Below are 21,445 nucleotides of genomic sequence, written 5' to 3' on the forward strand. Positions count from 1 at the left end.
AAACCCTGTCTCTACTAAAAATACAAAAATTAGCCAGGCGTGGTGGCCTGTTGTCCCAGCAACTCAGGGGGCTGAGATAGGAGAATCACTTGAACCTAGGAGGCAGAGGTTGCAGTGAGATGAGATCACACCGCCGCACTCCAGCCTGGGCAACAGAGCAAGACCCCACCTGTCTCAAAGAAAAAATAACAATAATAATAATAATCAAAACTAAAAAATAATAGATGTTGGCATGGATGTGGTGAAAAGGGAACTCTTTTACATTGTTGGTGGGAATGTAAACTAGCATAGCTACTATGGAAAACAGTATGGAGATTCCTTAAAGAGCTAAAAGTAGATCTACCATTCAGTCTAGCAATCCCACTACTGGGTATATACCCAAAGACAAAGAAGTCGTATGAAAAAGACACACGCACACACATGTCTACAGAAGCACAATTCTCAATTGCAAAAATTATGGAACCAACTCAGATGCCCATCAACCAACCAGTGGATAAAGAAAATTTGGTACCCATACACCATGGAATACTACTCAGCCATAAAAGGCAATGAAATAATGGCCTTTGCAGCAACTTGGATGGACTTGGAAGCCATTATTCTAAGTGAAGTAACTCAGGAATGGAAAACCAAGTATCATATGTTCTCACTGATAAGTGGGAGCTAAGCTATGAGGATGCAAAGGCGGCATACGAGTAATATAATGGACTTTTGGAATTCAGAGAGAAGGGTGAAGGTGATGAGGCATCAAAAACTACATATTGAGTACAGTGTACCCTGCTAGGGTGATAGGTACATCAAAATCTCAGAAATCACCACTAAAGAACATAACCATGTAACAAAAAACCACCTGTTCCCCAAAAAGTATTGAAATAAAATTTAAAAAAATTAAAAAATAAACTGTTATTTTCTGAGCACCTACTGTATACCAAAGACAAAGCCTAAACTGCTTGCAGGCATGATTTCCTTCAATCTTCTCAATGGGTTGGTCAAGTATTTATTTTTGTGCCCATTTTACTGATGAAGAACTGAGGCTTAGAAGAAACTCAGTTAGAGACACATGGCAAGTATTTGAATGGGCTTAGGGTTTGAACCCACATTCTCCCCAGTTTGTGCTGCACCCTAGAGGTCTCCCATCTGCCAAGGGCTTTATCAAATGCATTCCTTGTCCCATGGATGAGATCAGGCCAGGCGCGGTGGCTCACACCTGTAATCTCAACACTGTGGAAGGCCGAGGCAGGTGGATCACCTGAAGTCAGGAGTTCGAGACCAGCCTGGCCACCATGGTAAAACCCTGTCTCTACTAAAAATACAAAAATTAGTCAAATGTGGTGGCAAGCGCCTGTAGCCCCAGCTACTCAGTAGGTTGAGGCTGGAGAACCGCTTGAACCCGAGAGGCGGAGGTTGCAGCGAGCTGAGATTGAGCCACTGCACCTCAGCCTGGACGAGAGAGCGAGACTCCGTCTCAAAAAATAAATACATAAATAAATAACTAGAGAGATCAGAAAATTGGGGTGGATTGCCCAAGGTCAGGAAATGAGCTGACCTGCTTGAAGAAACAATCCATTCTGGATCCAAAGAGGAGGCACTGGGCATTTTTTTACTTTTACTGAAAAGGTCGTATTGGAGGCAGCCCCAGTGACACCTTTTGACAATTTCAGAAAGTTCCACCTGCAGTTTGGAGGCAAAGCTGAAGCCAAGGCCTACATCGTCCCAGCCCCTCTCTCCACCTCCAGCTCAAACACCAGCTGGCCCTTAGCTCTTGGAACATTAGTCTGCAGGGGGAACAGATCCTGGTGCATGAAGGAGGCATCTCCCATCCTAGACTTGACCACTCCCCAGTGCAGCTGCTTCTCGTTGTTTCAGAGATTCTGAGAAATATGTTAAATAGGCTAAGGGAGACATACAAAGTGGACAGCAGACTCCAAAAGGTTAATATCTTCCTTTTCAGATGGTTCCCACAGTTGCCATGGATATCTCCTACAGGAGGCTTTGCAAGTTCCACATGAAGGGGCTGAAATTAATAAACTCCTTTGAACTCAGAGGAAACAAACCAGGTGGGGCTAAAAATGCTGCAGCCTGTTTGTATCCATCTTGGACAGGGGGGCCTAGAAGAGCAGGTGTGTGTGCAAAGGGCGTTTGGGTGTTTATCTGTGGGTATGTGTGCGTTTCAACCACACATATGCGACTGTATGTGTGCCTTTGGTTTGTCTGTGTATACACATGAAAGAGGGTCAGAAAAGGACTAGACTGTCTGCATATCCCAAAGGGCAAAGATTTATTTGATGATAGTTTCCCCAACTAGGCGGCAATATATTCAAGGTCAAGGGCTGTTTTTTATTTGTCTCTGCAATCCCATTAGCACCTAGCCTGGTGCCTTGTGGATGTTCAGCAACTGTCTATTGAACAGTTTCATCTGTTCATTTAACAAATAATTTTGAGGGCCTGGCACTGTGCTACGCACAGAGGTTATTACCACAGTGACTAAGACAGAGATTCTTTCTTCATGGAGCTTAGGAGCATGAGACAGGTGGACGAATGGGCTGAAGGATGAATTCTCAAATGAAAAGTCATATAAGTACCTTTCCTGTGGTTCATGTGTGTAAACGTGTGCACGTGTGTATGTATGTGCACACAGGTATTTATAAAGAGACAAAAGAATTACTTGAAAAATGAAGTGCCAGTGAGGAACAGAGTCCATGTATAAAAAATAAAGAACGTGGGCCGGGTGCATTGGCTCATGCCTATAATCCCAGCACTTTGGGAGGCTGAGGTGGGTGGATCATCTGAGGTCAGGAGTTCGAAACCAGCCTGGCCAACATGGTGAAACCTCGCCTCTACTAAAAATACAAAAATTAACCAGGCACGGTGGCAGGCACCTGCAATCCCAGCTACTCGGGAGGCTGAAGTGAAAGAATCACTTGAACCTGGGAGACAGAGGTTGCAGTGAGCAGAGATCGCACCACTGCACTCCAGCCTGGGCGACAGAGCAAGACTGTGCCTCAAAACAAAACAAAACGAAACAAAAAATGAAGAACATGGACACCGGCGTCAACACGTCCTGCCTCTGTTGCTAATCAGCTATACCTCCTTAGTCAATCAGAGCCACAGTTTACTCACATTGAATATTTTTGGCACACCTACCATGTGTGAGGTACGTTCCCCGCCCTGGGACATAGCAAGGAGTAGAGCAGACATCAATCCCCACCGTCATTGAGTAATGATTCTAAAACTCAGTGAGTGCCAGAATGGCAAGAGGCTCCAAGGTGGCCCAGGGAAGCAGGGAAGGTGTCTGAAGGAAGTGACTCTTCCACCGAGACATGAAGGATGTATAAGAATCGGTTAAGTGACAGGTAGAGGGGAAAGAGTCCCAGGCAGAAAAAATAGTGTGCACAGAGGTCTTGAGGCAAGAGCAATTATGGCACGTTTGAAAAGCTGGAGGATATTGAATACAGCAGCAGCACTGTGTGTAAAGGGGAGGAAAGGCTGTATGAATGGGTGTACATATGTGTCCATGCATGTGTGTGTGTGTGACTCAGTATGAGTGTGTCTCTGTATGTGTTTCCAGGCATGTGATTATGAGTGTGTATCTGAATAAGTGTGTGCATGTGTGTCTCGGTATGTATGTACATGTGTGGTATGTGTGTCTGAGTGTGTCTGTGTTTTTAAGCATAGTGCGAGTGTGTGTGTCTCCATGTATGTGAGTCTGTGTGTGCATGTGTTCCCATGCAAGTGTGTGCAAGACTGAATGGCTGTCTGTGTGCATGTGTGTCTAAGCATGTGTTTATGCATGTGTCTGAATGAGTGTGTGAGTTTGTGTGTGTGTGTGTGTCCAGGCATATGAGTGTGGGTGAGTACACATCCTTACAAAGAAGTTTGCAGATACTACGACCAGAAAGCCACAGATAAAGGAATAAGACTTCCTATGGGAGTTCTGTAACCACAGAGCAAAATCAATATTCTAACCGAATTGCTTTTATAGATAATGTATTATGTGAGAAAAGTTTTAATTAAAGTGTGGCCTCTAAGAAGGTTGCTCCAAGACTCACAGATTTCACTGTTCTGCTCAGACAGAGCTCAGGGCAGGTGGGGAGCAAGCTGGGTATTATCCAACAGGCAGCCCTCCCATTCCTTGTCCTCCTCTGTGGCTGCCATTTTCACCTGCCTTGTTATAAATTCATTAAAAAAAAAAAAAAACGGCCATGCACGATGGCTCATGCCTGTAATCCTAGCACTTTGGGAGGTCGAGGGGGGTGGATCACTTGAGGTCAGGAGTTCAAGACCAGCCTGGCCAACATGGTGAAACCTCGTCTCTACTAAAAATACAAAAATTAACTGAGTGTGGTGGCGGGTGCCTGTAATCCCAGCTACTCAGGAGGCTGAGGCAGGAGAACTGCTTGAACCTGGGAGGTGGAGGTTGCAGTGAGCCAAGATCACACCATTGCACTCCAGCCTGGGCGACAGATACAGACTCTGTATAAAAAAAAAAAAAAAAAAAAAAAAAAAGCATATTTAGGAAATGCTGTTCATTAATGTTCCAGAAAACTATGCTAACATATTGATAGTCAAAGAAATGCAGACGAAAACAAATCATATTCTTTGCATAAAAGAGAAAAAAATAGAATTTAAAATAATAATATTTGCTTGCAGTAAGGGTACAGTATACCAGGTACGTTTGTGATAGGAGTGTAGATCGGTTCATATTTTCTGAAGGATATTTGAACCATAGTATCTGAAACTTTAAACTAGACATACCTTTGGATTCAGCATTTCTGCTTCTAGGAATTTAGCCAAAGAAAATAATCACTCAAATGGGGCAGATTAAGTGTAAAAAGTTGCTCATCAAAGCATCATGAAGATGCAACTCTTGTTATGATGGTGTGATCTTTCCCATAATTGGCCTCTAAAGGCTGAGAACAAAAGGTCATAAACATTCCACATTTTAAGTATAGTAACCACCAATATTTGGCCAGCTTTCTCCCTGAAAGTTTAGGTTTCAGGTAGTGGTGTGCTGGTAAATGTTTAACAAACAGCTATGGAGTGGAGGTGGAGATGGGGGGTTGTCAGATGATACAAATTTCCATGGTGTAAATACTCCCACCAGGGCTGATTCTGCGCTTCCAATGCGTGCTTGCTGAATGCAGAGTTTTGAAGAGATACTAACAATTGGCCCTCACGAGCCAATATGAGCACCTTCAGCATACGATGGGATAGAGGAGCCACTTCTGCTGAAGCAATGCTGATTCCTTGCAATGCATGCTCCACAGCACATATAAGTCAGGGAGGGAGAGTGAAGTTATCCTTTGGAGAGGCGCAGCGTTGGTGCAGAGAGATTCTCCCTACTTCCGCTTACTTCCCCAGAGGTTCTACTCCTCGTTGCAAAATGAGGGATGCACAAAGCAAATAGCTCACTAAGTTGGGAGGCATTTATAAGAAGGGGCTGCCAGACTCTCTCTCTCTGCTTGCTGACCAGTTTAGTGCTTCCTGAGCTAATTAAGAAGGCATTGGGACACAATAATGGTGCAGACTGACCACAAGGCTGATAGGAGACAAGGACCACTTTCTTTCAAGTCCCAGCTTTGCAAGTGGAATGGAAGATGGATGAGGGGAAAGGGCACTCTAAATAGCGTGTGAAATTGACATTGTCCAATGATCAAGACTGAATCTTCAGAACCAAGCTCAAACAGAGACTTTTAATACTAGGATGTATCTGTCTGAACCACACTAGTGATTTCCTTGAGGAAGCCTGCTAGGTAACAGGATAGGAAAAATTTGAAAGGGCAGAGTTAACAGCAGCTATTGGAAAAGAATACATTTTTCTGGTTTTACCTCAATGACTTGAGGCTTGTCAATCAAATTGGTCACACTTTTGAAATAACCTAAGTATCCATCAAGCAGGAATTCAGTATAATACAGCACATCCATTTATTCAAACAGCATGCAGATATTCAAAGATGTTAATACCCATTGTGTGTGTGTGTGTGTGTGTGTGTGTGTGTGTGTGTGTTATCTGTATCTTAATTCAAGTACCACCAAATAATCACTGATATATGCTTCTTTGAGGTTTTTAAAACTTAAATTTTATAGTCTCATTTTTAACTAGACAGTTAATAACTCTGTGAATTAAAAACATCTCTTTTCCTTGGGTCTACTCTGATATAGTCAACACTGGAGAATTCAAAATCACAGTATAGTCTTTCTACCATAGTTGCTACCAAGAAAAGATGACTGCAATAAATGAAAAGATGACCACAATAAATAGGTGAGTGGGAATAAAAAGTGATTTACAAATAATTATGTACAATATGACCTTGCTTTTGTAAAAGAATAAAAAAGTGTATAACCATATATATAGGAAAACATCTGGAAATGTACACACTAAAATGTCAAGAGTAGTTGCTCTGGGTGGGGTATGGTATATAGACCTTTATTTAATCATTTGCTCAACTTGCCATTCTTTGGTTAATACTTATTAAGTTCTCACTGTGTATCAGAGACACTGCTAGCCACCCATACTTCCCTGTTTTATCTAGTATTTTACAGATCTTTTGCCTTATAATTAACATGCATCAAAAAAATCAGGACAGGAAAAGAGAGAGCTTTTATTTTGCTGAAAAAACGAAGTACTCAGCCCACAGTACTTAGAACTCAAAGGGTACTTAGTAATGGTGGCCATGATTGTATCATTCTGTGAATCTTGGCTCTTCCTCTGCTATAGCTTCTAGAACAATCGTTGTAACAACAACAGTGATAGGCGGTTCCAAGATGGCTGAATAGGAACAGCTCCAGTCTACAGCTCCCATCACGAGCGACGCAGAAGATGGGTGATTTCTGCATTTCCAACTGAGGTACTGGGTTCATCTCACAGGAGAGTGTCGGACAGTGGGTGCAGGACAGCGGGTGCAGCGCACCGAGCGTGAGCAGAAGCAGGGTGAGGCATCGCCTCACGTGGGAAGTGCAAGGGGTCAGGGAATTCCCTTTCCTAGCCAAGCAAAGCTGTGACAGATGGCACCTGGAAAATTGGGTCACTCGCACCATAATACTGTGCTTTTCCAATGGTCTTAGCAAACGGCACACCAGGAGATTATAGCCCGTGCCTGGCTCGGAGGGTCCTAAGCCCACGGAGCCCTGCTCACTGCTAGCACAGCAGTCTGAGATCGAACTGCAAGGCAGCAGTGAGGCTGGGGTAGGGGCACCCACCATTGCTGAGGCTTGAGTAGGTAAACAAAGCAGCCAGGAAGCTCAAACTGGGTGGAGCCCACCGCAGCTCAAGGAAGCCTGCCTGCCTCTGTAGACTCCTCTGGGGGCAGGGCATAGCCAAACAAAAGGCAGCAGAAACCTCTGCAGACTTAAATGTCCCTGTCTGACAGCTTTGAAGAGAGTAGTGGTTCTCCCAGCACGGAGTTTGAGATCTGAGAACGGACAGACTGCCTCCTCAAGTGGGTCCCTGACCCCCGAGTAGCCTAACTGGGAGGCACCCCCCAGTAGGGGCAGACTGACACCTCACACGGCCGGGTACCCCTCTGAGACGAAACTTCCAGAGGAACGATCAGGCAGCAACATTTGCTGTTCAGCAATATTCGCTGTTCTGCAGCCTCCGCTGCTGATACCCATGCAAACAGGGTGTGGAGTGGACTTCCAGCAAACTCCAACAGACCTGCAGCTGAGGGTCCTGACTGTTAGAAGGAAAACTAACAAACAGAAAGGACATCCACACCAAAACCCCATCTGTACGTCACCATCATCAAAGACCAAAGGTAGATAAAACCGCAAAGATGGGGAAAAAACAGAGCAGAAAAGCTGAAAATTCTAAAAATCAGAGCGCCTCTCCTCCTCCAAAGGAATGCAGCTCCTCACCAGCAACGGAACAAAGCTGGTGTTTTGTTTTGCATGACTTTGATGAGCTGAGAGAAGAAGGCTTCAGATGATCAAACTTCTCCCAGCTAAGGAGGAAGTTTGAACCCATGGCAAAGAAGTTAAAAACCTTGAAAAAAGATTAGACAAATCGCTAACTAGAATAACCAATGCAGAGAAGTCCTTAAAGGACCTGATGGAGCTGAAAACTATGGCATGAGAACTACGTGACAAATGCACAAGCTTCAGTAGCCAATTCAATCAACTGGAAGAAAGGGTATCAGTGATGGAAGATCAAATGAATGAAATGAAGTGAGAAGAGAAGTTTAGAGAAAAAAGAATGAAAAGAAACGAACGAAGCCTCCAAGAAATATGGGACTATGTGAAAAGACCAAATCTACGTCTGATTGGTGTACCTGAAAGTGACGGGGAGAATGGAACCAAGTTGGAAAACACTCTGCAGGATATCATCCAGGAGAACTTCCCCAACCTAACAAGGCAGGCCAACATTTAAATTCAGGAAATACAGGGAACGCCACAAAGATACTCCTTGAGAAGAGCAACTCCAAGACACATAATTGTCAGATTCACCAAAGTTGAAATGAAGGAAAAAATGTTAAGGGCAGCCAGAGAGAAAGGTCAGGTTACCCACAAAGGGAAGCCCATCACACTAACAGCTGATCTCTCGGCAGAAACTCTACAAGCCAGAAGAGAGTGGGGGCCAATATTCAACATTCTTAAAGAAAAGAATTTTCAACCCAGAATTTCATATCCAGCCAAACTAAGCTTCATAAGTGAAGGAGAAGTAAAATACTTTACAGACAAGCAACTGCTGAGAGATTTTGTCACCACCTGGCCTGCCCTAAAAGAGCTCCTGAAGGAAGCACTAAACATGGAAAGGAATAACCAGTACCAGCCATGGCAAAAACATGCCCAAATTGTAAAGACCATCGAGGCTAGGAAGAAACTGCATCAACTAACGAGCAAAATAACCAGCTAACATCATAACGACAGGATCAAATTCACACATAACAATATTAACCTTAAATGTAAATGGGCTAAATCCTCCAATTAAAAGACTCAGACTGGCAAATTGGATAAAGAGTCAAGACCCATCAGTGTGCTGTATTCAGAAACCCATCTCACATGCAGAGACACACATAGGCTCAAAATAAAGGGATGGAGGAAGATCTACCAAGCAAATGGAAAACAAAAAAAGGCAGGGGTTGCAATCCTAGTCTCTGGTAAAATGGACTTTAAACCAACAAAGATCAAAGGAGACAAAGAAGGCCATTACATAATGGTAAAGGGATCAATTCAACAAGAAGAGCTAACTATCCTAAATATATATGCATCCAATACAGGAGCACCCAGATTCATAAAGCAAGTCCTTAGAGACCTACAAAGAGACTTAGACTCCCACACAATAATAATGGGAGACTTTAACACCCCACTGTCAACATTAGACAGATCAATGAGACAGAAAATTAACAAGGATATCCAGGAATTGAACTCAGCTCTGCACCAAGTGGACCTAATAGACATCTACAGAACTCTCCACCCCAAATCAACAGAATATACCTTCTTCTCAGCACCACATCACACTTATTCCAAAATTGACCACATAGTTGGAAGTAAAGCACTCCTCAGCAAATGTAAAACACCAAAAATTATAACAAACTGTCTCTCAGACCACAGTGCAATCAAACTAGAACTCAGGATTAAGAAACTCACTCAAAACCGCTCAACTACATGGAAACTGAACAACCTGCTCCTGAACGACTGCTGGGTACATAACAAAATGAAGTCAGAAATAAAGATGTTCTTTGAAACCAACGAGAACAAAGACACAACATACCAGAATCTCTGGGACACATTCAAAGCAGTGTGTAGAGGGAAATTTATAGCACTTAATGCCCACAGGAGAAAGCAGGAAAGATCTAAAATTGACACCCTAACATCACAATTAAAAGAACTAGAGAAGCAAGAGCAAACGCATTCAAAAGCTAGCAGAAGGCAAGAAATTACTAAGATCAGAACAGAACTGAAGGAGACAGAGACACAAAAAACCCTTCAAAAAATCAATGAATCCAGGAGCTGGTTTTTTGAAAAGATCAACAAAATTGGTAGACCACTAGCAAGACTAATAAAGAAAAGAGAGAAGAATCAAATAGATGCAATAAAAAATGATAAAGGGGATATCACCAGCGATCCCACAGAAATACAAACTACCATCAGAGAATACTATAAACACCTCTATGCAAATAAACTAGAAAATCTAAAAGACATGAATAAATTCCTTGACACATACACCCTCCCAAGACTAAACCAGGAAGAAGTTGAATCTCTGAATAGACCAATAACAGGCTCTGAAATTGAGGCAATAATTAATAGCCTACCAACCAAAAAAAGTCCAGGACCAGACGGATTCACAGCCGAATTCTACCAGAGGTACAAGGAGGAGCTGGTACCATTCCTTCTGAAACTATTCCAATCAATAGAAAAGGAGAGATTCCTCCCTAACTCATTTTATGGGACCAGCATCATCCTGATACCAAAGCCTGGCAAAGACACAACAAAAAAAGAGAATTTTAGACCAATATCCCTGATGAACATCGATGCAAAAATCCTCAATAAAATACTGGCAAACTGAATCCAGCAGCACATCAAAAAGCTTATCCACCATGATCAAGTGGGTTTCATCCCTGGGATGCAAAGCTGGTTCAACATACAAAAATCAATAAACGTAATCCAGCATGTAAACAGAACCAAAGACAAAAACCACACGATTATCTCAATAGATGCAGGAAAGGCCTTTAACAAAATTCAACAGCCCTTCATGCTAAAAACTCTCAATAAATTAGGCATTGATGGGACGTATCTCAAAATAATAAGAGCTATTTATGAAAAACCCACAGCCAATATCATACTGAATGGGCAAAACCTGGAAGTATTCCCTTTGAAAACTGGCACAAGACAGGGACGCCCTCTCTCACCACTCCTATTCAACATAGTGTTGGAAGTTCTGGCCAGGGCAATCAGGCAGGAGAAAGAAATAAAGGGTATTCAATTAGGAAAAGAGGAAGTCAAATTGTCCCTGTTTGCAGATGACATGATTGTATATCTAGAAAACCCCATCGTCTCAGCCCAAAATCTCTTTAAGCTGATAAGCAACTTCAGCAAAGTCTCAGGATACAAAATCAATGTGCAAAAATCACAAGCATTCTTATACACCAATAACAGACAAACAGAGAGCCAAATCATGAGTGAACTCCCATTCACAGTGGCTTCAAAGAGAATAAAATACCTAGGAATCCAACTTACAAGGGACGTGAAGGACCTCTTCAAGGAGAACTACAAACCACTGCTCAACAAAATAAAAGAGGATACAAACAAATGGAAGAAATTCCATGCTCATGGATAGGAAGAATCAATAATGTGAAAATGGCCATACTGCCCAAGGTAATTTATAGATTCAGTGCCATCCCCATCAAGCTACCAATGACTTTCTTCACAGAATTGGAAAAAACTACTTTAAAGTTCATATGGAACCAAAAAAGAGCCTGCATTGCCAAGTCAATCCTAAGCCAAAAGAACAAAGCTGGAGGCATCACACTACTGACTTCAAATTATACTACAAGGCTACAGTAACCAAAACAGCATGGTACTGGTACCAAAACAGAAATATAGACAAATGGAACAGAATGGAGCCCTCAGAAACAATACCACACATCTACAACCATCTGCTCTTTGACAAACCTGACAAAAACAAGAAATGGGGAAAGGATTCCCTATTTAATAAATGGTCCTGGGAAAACTGGCTAGCCATATGTAGAAAGCTGAAACTGGATCCCTTCCTTACACCTTATACAAAAATTAATTTGAGATGGATTAAAGACTTAAATGTTAGACCTAAAACCATAAAAACCCTAGAAGAAAACCTAGGCATTACCATTCAGGACACAGGCATGGGCAAGGACTTCATGTCTAAAACACCAAAAGCAATGGCAACAAAAGGCAAAATTGACAAATGGGATCTAATTAAACTGAAGAGCTTCTGCACAGCAAAAGAAACTACCATCAGAGTGAACAGGCAACCTACAGAATGGGAGAAAATTTTTGCAATCTACTCATCTGACAAAGGGCTAATATCCAGAATCTACAACGAACTCAAACACATTTACAAGACAAAAACAAACAACCCCATCAAAAAGTGGGTGAAGGACATGAACAGACACTTCTCAAAAGAAGACATTTATGTGCCAACAGACACATGAAAAAATGCTCATCTTCACTGGCCATCAGAGAAATGCAAATCAAAACCACAATGAGATACCATCTCACACCAGTTAGAATGGCAATCAGTAAAATGTCAGGAAACAACAGGTGCTGGAGAGGATGTGGAGAAATAGGAACACTTTTACACAGTTGGTGGGACTGTAAACTAGTTCAACCATTGTGGAAGACAGTGTGGCGATTCCTCAGGGATCTAGAACTAGAAATACCTTTTGACCCAGCCATCCCATTACTGGGTATATACCCAAAGGATTACAAATCATGCTGCTATAAAGACACATGCACACATATGTTTGTTGTGGCACTATTCACGATAGCAAAGACTTGGAACCAACCCAAATGTCTGTCAATGATAGACTGGATTAAGAAAATGTGACACATATATACACACCATGGAATACTATGCAGCCATAAAAAAGGATGAGTTCATGTCCTTAGTAGGGACATGGATGAAGCTGGAAACCATCATTCTCAGCAAACTATCGCAAGGACAAAAACCAAACACCGCATGTTGTCTCTCACAGGTGGGAATTGAACAATGAGAACACTTGGACACAGGAAGGGGAGCATCACACACTGGGGCCTGTCGTGGGGTGGGGGGATGGGGGAGGGATAGCATTAGGAGATACACCGAATGTAAATGACGAGTTAATGGGTGCAGCACACCAACATGGCACATGTATACATATGTAACAAACCTGCATGTTGTGCACATGTACCCTAGAACTTAAAGTATAATAAAAAATATTTAAGAAAAAAACAACAGTGATGATAGCCTGTATTGATATAGTATTTGTTACATGCCAGGGCGGGGTTCTGAATACTGATTTGGCTCAAAATAACTCTATGAGGTAACTATCATTCCCATTTTACACATCAGGAAACTGGAGGCAGAAATATTGTTCCTGCAATAACAGGTCTCCTCCCTCCATAAGTGCAACCTGGCCTGAGACTTGGGGCACTGTCTTCACCCCACCCCATCCCTGAAACTGCTCTGATAGGAACAATAGACCTATACACACAGGCACACACCCAGAAATAGATTGGGATGGTTCTGGCCTGGGTTATTGTGGGTGACTCAGACGGTCAGAGAAAAAGGTAATGTAACGCAGACAAATGTGAGATAATAAGTCTGAAGCCAATGAAACAAAGGAGAGGGAGAGCACATACTAAATAAAAAGTCATGAGTCCCTGCAGCCTGGAAAGGGATTTAGAGTTTACTGTTAAAAAAAAACAAAAAAAAACAAAAAAAACAAAAAAAAAACAACAACAACAAAAAGAAAACCCTCCTTGAAATTGTCAGCACTTTGTACTATCAGAGTACACTTGGGAATCGAGGGGCTCCTGTGTCCATGCCTGTGGCATCTTTATCCACTGATGGAGGCCAGGAAGGAGGGGGTCTGGTCATTCCATCCTGCTGGGGTCAGGCTGGGAGCAGGAGAGCTGTTTCTGAGCCTCGGTGTGTCCACGGTGGATCCATGCTTATTCTGGGTCCCAAGGAAGAGGCTGGGCTGAAACAACAGGAATGTGTCCCTGTAGACAGCCCAGCAAGAAGTGGTGTAGGGTGGGGCAGAAGATGAGTTCCAGGATCTCAGAGTAAGGATTTGCATGGAGGCTGGAAAATCTGGAAGAAAGGCAAAGTACACGCGGATTGCAGATGGTCGGGGTGAATGGGAAGGCTTCAGCCAAACAGGATAGATGGCAGCCAGAAAGGAAGTGTACTGGGGGCTTGAATGGTCTAGAAAAGCCTGCTAGAAGATGGGGCAAAAAAGGTCAGATAATGCAAATATCCAGGGACAAAGCCCTCTGGGGGAGGAGGAGAGGTTTTGAGCATGGAGTGATGGGGATGGTTTAAACCAGGCCAGGAGCCTTTTTTTTTTTTTATTTCTAATTTTAATTTTTAGAGTCAGGGTCTCACTTTTTTTGCCCAGGCTGGAGTGCAGTGGTAAGATCATGGCTCACTGCATCCTTGCTCTCCTTAAGCAATCCTCCCACCTCAGCCTCCTGAGTAGCCAAGACCACAGGTGTGAGCCACAGCACCCAGCTAAATTTTTTATTTTTAGTAGAGATAGGGTCTCATTATGCTGCCCAGGCTGGGCTTGAACTCCCAGGCTCAGGCGATCCTCCTGCCTTGGCCTCCCAAAGTGCTGGGATTATGGACATGAGCCACTGCATTTGGCTCCTGGGGGCATTTTTGTATCCAAAGAACACAAACAGATGATATTAACAAAAGCAAAACCAACTAATTCAGTCTTCATACTTATAAGGTCAATATTATTATCCCTGATTTAAAGAGGAAGAAACTGAAGCACAGAGGGTTTGGGTAACTTAACCTCAGGTCACCCAACCAGCTAGTGACAGAGCTAGAATTCAAACCGAGGTCACCTGGCTGCATTGCATGTGCTCTTGACAAAGATTCTCAACTTGATCTGACTGTAGTCAGGCTTCTCAGAGACCTCTGTCCGAACAGGTCCTGACCTTGGTCTTTGTCCTTATTCCAGGCCCACTTTTAGCAAGAATCCTGTTGAGTCAGTTTATTGAAAATCTCCCACCCTCAGTATCTTATCACCCTGGTCCACCTTCAAAAGAAACCCTGTTAGGTCAGCTTAGTAAAGAATTACCCTATTTCTTAGTGAGCTTCCACCCACCAACCTCCACCCCACATCCCACTCCTTGCCTGTAAATTGCCTGTTTTCTGATTTTATTTGGAGTGGGACTCAGTATTTCTCCCCTACTTCAAAACCCCGTTGTAGTAGCTTCCCTTGAATAGTCTTTCTTGAAAGTCTAAAGACATCTTTAGCAGATGTCATTAATAATTTGTTTTTAATATTCTTTTTTTTTCAGCTCACTGTAGCTTCAACCTCTCGAGCTCAAGGGATCCTCCTGCCTCAGCCTTCTGAGTAGCTGGGATTACAGGCTTGCGCCACCATGCCCAACTAATTTTTTTATTTTTAGTAGAGACAGGGTCTCACTATGTTGCCTAGGCTGGTCTCCAACTCCTGGGCTCAAGTGATCCTCCCACCTCGGCCTCCCAAAGTGATTGGATTACAGATGCGAGCCACAGTGCCTAGCCTGTTTTTAATATTCTTTTTTTTTTTTTTTTTTTTTTTTGAGATGGAGTTTTTCCCTTTTGCTGCCCAGGCTGGAGCGCAATGGCGTGATTTCGGCTCACTGCAACCTCCGCCTCCCGGGTTCAAGCGATTCTCCTGCCTCAGCCTCCTGAGTAGCTGGGATTACAGGCACCCCCCCATCATGCCCAGCTAATTTTGTATTTTTAGTAGAGACTGGGTTTCTCCATGTTGTTCGGGCTGGTCTCCAACTCCTGACATGAGATGATCCATCCGCCTCAGCCTCCCAAAGTGCTGGGATTACAGGCGTGAGCCACTGTGCCCAGACCTGTTTTTAATATTCTTAACCACTACACATACTCCTCTAATGTTAGACAAAAATAAAACTCATAAGAAGGACTCCAGTAAATGCCATAAGTCATTAGGGCCAAGCAGCATTGCCCTGGATCATTTCTAATTGGGTATCAAAATAAGGCAAGAAGGGGAGAGAACAATTCTCTGTTTTGTCCTACACCATAGAGTAGCTTGGGCTTACAATGGCAACCATCAAAGCTAGAGGGATTCTTTGGAGCCCAGGCTGGGGGCAGAGCCACCAGCAGAAGAGAGCTCTATGGCAGGAATGACTAGTGCCTAGAAGAGTAGCTCAGGGATGCCTGAAAGCTAAAGGAGAGAACTCATTCTTGAGAAACCCTGGAAGAACCACTGAGACCCCAGCTGCCTGCAGAGACATTTGCACGAGGCCAAGACTACTGATGGGAGCAGGTGGGGCCAGCAGATGCTGGGGTATTCCGATTGCCCAGCCTGGTGAGCTTGCAAGAAATTGTAAATATTTCCCTCTTTTTCGTGACTCGTTACAGAGAGGCGAGATACAATTTTCTTGGAGTGGGGGAGCAGAGTTGAACAAGTCCAGTTTACTCCGATTTCAAGAATGTTTCTATTAGGCTAAAGAAGATTCAGGATGCTTCGAGGAGGGAAACGATTTCAAGGTGACCTTGTGGAAGGAGCCGGCACTATGAAATGTTTTTGATCGAGTGGAACAAGATAAGCTGTTCATGTTGCGGAAGGGTTCAAAGCCCTGGACACCAGCTGAAATAAGAAAATTCAATTTCTGGCATAAGATTGTGTTTTTTCTGCCTTCTAGAAGAATGTACACATCTGCCCCTCTTCTCTCCCTAATGAAAGCATCGTGTTCCTCTGCAGTCGTTCCGACACAAACGGGGTCGTAAAGGCAGGTTTGCATGGCATAGGTGATACCACTGGCAGGTACTCAGACACAGAGATGGCTGTTTCAGTCCAGAGGCTTCTAGGAAACTTCACACATGGCCAGGGCTGGGACCAGGGAGCGACCCAGGGCTATTTTGATATCATTGTGTTTTCTTTTGTTCTCCCACAAAAGACTCCTCCATGTTTATCGAAAACATTGCTGTCCAGTAGAACTTTCTGCATTCATGGAAATGTTCTATGTCTGTAATATTCAGTAGGGCATCTCCAACCACATGTGACTCCTGAGTACTTGAAATGTGGCCAGTGTGACAAAGAGATTCAATTTTTAATTTTATTTCATTTTAATTAATTTAAATAGCCTCGGGTGGCCAGCAGCTATCTCATTGGATAGCACAGTGCTGAAAGACTCAGTGGAAAGGGCATGATCCTCACGCCCACCTAGATTGGGCTTGAATTCTGCCTCTATCATTTGCTAGCTGTGTGACCTTGGGCAGGTTTCTTAACCTCTCTGACCCTCTCTCTCATCCTCACCTGAAAAATGGGGATGATGATATCAGTGTTGCAGGATTTTGGTGGAAATGAGTTGCATGCACAGAATACACAGCAGGCCATGTGCAAGTAGTAAATCTTAGCTGTAGTTATTAATTCATAAGTATGTCTGTGGCTTCACAATTGACTTGGGATTTCTCAGTTGTGGACACGAACTCTTGCTAACAATGACGGGGCAAAGTGGAGGTAAGGAATGAGGGGTCTTCTGTGTTGGAGGCAATGGGGATCCTGCAGGGCTCAACCAGCAGGATGAGCTCAGACTCAGGGCCCCCCAACAGGCAGAAGGTGGACTTGAGGCATTGTTGGGCGAGCAGGACCAGCCAGCTGCCCTTCCCCGCCCCCACCAGCCGGGCCTCCCTGATTACCGCCAAGGTGAGAGGAGGCCCCTCTCCTAAGAGGGCAAGGATGAGGAGAAGCAGACAGGGAGGGAGGGAGAGGAGAGCAAAGATGTGAGTTCATTGCAAACTCAGGAAAGACTGAGGACAGAGAGACAGGGACCAAGAAGGAAACAGATGGAAGCAGGGACAACAGAAAGCAAAGGAGCAGACAGGAGGCCATGCACAGAGCCAGGGGCAGGGAACCGCAAGGGTGAGGCGGGCAGAGACACACAGGAAGCCAGGGACACAGACACAGAGACCAAGACACAGAGACAGAGACACAGAGAAGACACAGAGACAGAGATATGGACATGGAGACATAGAGACTGAGACATGGAGACAGAGACATAGATAGACGGAGACACAGAAACACAGACTGAGATAAAGGGACAGAGACACAAAGATATAGAGATGGAGACACAGAGACAGAGACACAGACATGGAGATATAGAGACAGGAAGCTAGAGACACAGAGAGACAGAGACACAGAGACAGAAACAGAGGGAGAGAGACACGGGAACATAGACACATGAAAATAGAGATACAGAGAGACAGAGGCAGAGACATGGAGACAGACACAGAAATACAGAGGCAGGAAGACAGAGACACAGAGAGATAGAGACACAGACAGAGACACAGGAACACAGAGACATGAAGACAGAGACAAAGAGACAGAAAGACACAGAGATAAACACGGAGAGATGGAAACACAGAGACAGAAGACAGAGATAGAAATGCAGGAACATGAAGACAGAGACAGAGAGATACAGAGAAAGAGACAGAGACACAGAGACAGAAATGGAAAGAGACACCGAGATGCAGAGATAGAGAGACTGATACAGAGAGAGAGATGCAGAGAGTCAGAGACAGAGAGACAAGCAAAAAGAATAAGTGGGATGGGGGACAGGGCAAGACAGAGCAAGAAACATAAGTCACACACACGCACGCACGCACACACACGGACAGAGATGGGAAGACAGGCTGAGAGAGACAAAGCAAAACATAGACAGGGAAATAAAAAGATGAGAGAAGAGTGAGTTAGGAGGAGGCAGGGAGGAAAAGCTGGAGAAGGCATGGATGGAGTGGCACAGGGGGACCGCAGAGACCCACAGCAAGACGGAAATACATTTCAAAAAAGAAAAGCAAGAAATGGAGGGGCATAGATGTGGCTGAGTGCCAAAGGGAGACTGGTTGGCAGGGGCGGGGCTGGGAGGGAGGGGCTGGGTGGGCCCGCAGCAGCGGGGCAGAAGCAGCTCCACCTAGGCTGGGGGCTTGCATGGTGTATCCCCGTGAGGTTTCCCACCGAGCCCTCTTTGTTCCTCCACCTCCTCCTCACCATCAGGCAGAGGGCTTGGGAACTTGGGGGCAGCCAAGGATTCCAGAGCCCCCCTCGCCCGCGCTCCTTCCCTCTAACTCGGGAGTCGTTAATCTTGGAGGGCAGGTTGGTCTTTTATTAGCTATCTCCAAGGGTCAGCTTAGAAGTATCTGAGAAGATACTGGTTCAGAATGTCATTTGTCATCTGGAGGCCTGACGGGTGGCCGCATCGACTCAGCCCCCTCCTGTCCTCCCTGGAATTTAGGAAAGCGAAAGCTGCTCTTAACCTTTCCCTTAAATGGAGCTTTAATTCCTCTCTCCTTCTCTGTTTGCTCATCAGGGCAGCGCTATGGGAACAATAGGAAGCCACAGGCAGGAAGGGGGGATTGCTCCTCCCAGGGAAAGGTGGGGTGTCCCTGCTCCTTGCAATGCCTCCCTCCCCACTTCCCAGCCCCCCACATCAGCTGTTCTCAAGCTTGGTTGTATGTGGGACTCTCCTAGGAAGCTAAAAAAATGGCTGAGGGGGCCGGGCACAGTGGCTCATGCCTGTAATCCCAGCGCTTTGGGAGGCCGAGGCAGGTGGATCACAAGGTCAGGAGTTCCAGACCAGCCTGACCAAGATGGTGAAACCCCATCTTTACTAAAAATACAAAAATTAGCAGAGTGTGGTGGCCGGCGCCTGTAATCCCATCTACTGGGGAGGCTGAGGCAGGGAATTGCTTGAACCCGGAGGGCAGAGGGTGCAGTGAGCTGAGATCATGCCACTGCACCCCAGCCTGGGTGACAGAGCGAGACTCTCTCAAAAACAAACAAAAAAAGATGCTGAGGCCTGGGCTCACCCACAGAGGTTGAAATTTCATTGCTCTGGGCTGAAGTTCAGACATTGCAGCGTTCAAACCTGTCCTCAGGTGATAGTAATGAGCAGCTAAGACGAAGGTCTGCTGAGCTAGATGATCCCCTACCTGCCTTTTCATCATCATCCAGTCTCAAACCAGGCAACACCTCCTCTGAGAGGCCTTCCCTAGTAACCTTCCCTTGAAACAATGCCTGATCACAATCCCCCATTCATCTGCTGCCAAGCATTAGCAGCCATCTAAACAGTGATTAAGAGCCTGGCCTCTCAAGCCAGCACATGTGGGTTCCGATCCCCAAGCCACTCCTCCATAGCTAGGAGATCTCGGGCCAGTCACTTATTCTCTGTGCCCCCAATTCCCCCTTCTGTAAACTGGGAATGATAACGCTTTCAAGGATTCTAGTGTGGATTCAAGGAGCCAACAAAGGCAACGTGCATGGGAGAGTGCCTGGCACAGAGTGAGCCCTATATTAGTGTTTGCAACTGTTATTACCTTGCTTTTTATCTCCTCTTGTTTAGCTCTTCCTGCAAGCTTCCTTATGGACTAGGCCATGATTATCATCTTCATCGTCCCCATTTTACAGATGAGAACACTGAGGCATGAGAGAGTAAGAAACTTGGGCAAGGGGCTAGGTTTCACCATGACTGTTTGACTGTGGCCCTCCAGAGCTAGTAAGGGTAGAAGCCTGTGCAAGCTGGTAAGAGGCTGGGCAGTTGGCCTGTTTTACCCTGGCCTGTAGGGCTTGAGCTTTCGTGGACATCAGCACAGAGAAAGAGGTGTTCCAGTTGGAGGAAGCAGCTTGTTCAGCCATAGGAAGCAGCCTGGGGCTTCTGGGAAAGGTACTGGCTCTGGGTGGTGTTGGGAGTGGGAAGAAGTTGGGGGGAGTGGAGGCAGGGCTGGCACCAAGAGCTCTGGAGGGAATGTCAAAGATGGAGAGTTGTGTTGAGGTTTTGGTTCTGCGTCCACATGGAGATGGAGAATGACTGGAACGCAGGTCCCCTAACTTCCGGTCCTTGGGTCTTGCCCATGGACCCTGGTCTAGCGCTTCGAAATCGTAGACAATTGGGATCCGTGTCTGAAGTTGGTTGGGTGAGATAGTTCTGGGGTCAAACCCCTCTAATCTGGGCTGCAAACTCAACACCTCCACTCTCCAGCTGCATGGCCTTGGGTAAGGTCCATGACCTGTGTCTGCCTTGGTTTCCTCTCCTGTAAATGGAGGTGAGGAACCTCCCTCAGAGGATGTGGTGAGGACTGACTGAGACGAGGCATGAAAAGCATGGAGCACCCTGCCCGCCTGAGTAAACAAAATACTCACCATTGCTGACACTGACAACCATCTCCTGGGTGGGAAGGATGAGGAGAAAAATAGAACAGCTGGAAATGATTATGATTGGGATGTGGCACAACAAAGGAAGGAAGGAAGAGAGGAAGGAAGGAGGGGAGGGAGGGGGGAGGAAAGGAAGAAAGGAAAGGAAGGACGGATGGTGGGAGGCAGGAAGGATGAAAGGAGGGAGGGAGGGAGGAAGGGAGGGAGGATGGAAGTGAGGGAGGAAGGAGAGGGAAAGGGAGGGAGGCAGGGACGGAGGGAGGAAAGAAAAAAAGGAAAGAAAGGAAGGAGGGGGAAAGGGAGGGAGGGAAGGAAGGAAGGAAAAAGGAAGGAAGGAAGGAAGGATGGAAGGAAGGAAGGCTGGCTGAGAGGTTTTCACAGATGAATGATTTTCAGTGGTAAAACCAGGGAAGTCCTAGGCAAATAGAGATGAGTTAGTTGCTCTAAGGAAAGGTCTAAAGCAGTACACTTTAATTCTTCAAGCGCAAAGTAAGTCAAAAGAAAAGCAAGGAAATTGAGTCAAGCTACAGCACAACCAATTGAGGTTAGATCTCATACAGGACTTCCTGGCTACTGAACAACAG

At 45.0% G+C, this 21,445-nt stretch overlaps 3 annotated features.

The window, feature by feature from the left end:
* Positions 18,233 to 18,909: an enhancer, noted in NCBI's record as "H3K27ac-H3K4me1 hESC enhancer chr16:17838498-17839174 (GRCh37/hg19 assembly coordinates)". NCBI's record gives its function as "activates a minimal SCP1, AML or CMV promoter by ChIP-STARR-seq in primed H9 embryonic stem cells {active_cell/tissue: H9 hESC(primed)}" and the evidence as "EXISTENCE:reporter gene assay evidence [ECO:0000049][PMID:30033119]".
* Positions 18,910 to 19,585: an enhancer, noted in NCBI's record as "H3K27ac-H3K4me1 hESC enhancer chr16:17839175-17839850 (GRCh37/hg19 assembly coordinates)". NCBI's record gives its function as "activates a minimal SCP1, AML or CMV promoter by ChIP-STARR-seq in primed H9 embryonic stem cells {active_cell/tissue: H9 hESC(primed)}" and the evidence as "EXISTENCE:reporter gene assay evidence [ECO:0000049][PMID:30033119]".
* Positions 20,262 to 20,937: an enhancer, noted in NCBI's record as "H3K27ac hESC enhancer chr16:17840527-17841202 (GRCh37/hg19 assembly coordinates)". NCBI's record gives its function as "activates a minimal SCP1, AML or CMV promoter by ChIP-STARR-seq in naive H9 embryonic stem cells {active_cell/tissue: H9 hESC(naive)}" and the evidence as "EXISTENCE:reporter gene assay evidence [ECO:0000049][PMID:30033119]".

Source organism: Homo sapiens, chromosome 16 (assembly GCF_000001405.40).
Source record: "Homo sapiens chromosome 16, GRCh38.p14 Primary Assembly".
Lineage (NCBI taxonomy): Eukaryota > Metazoa > Chordata > Mammalia > Primates > Hominidae > Homo > Homo sapiens.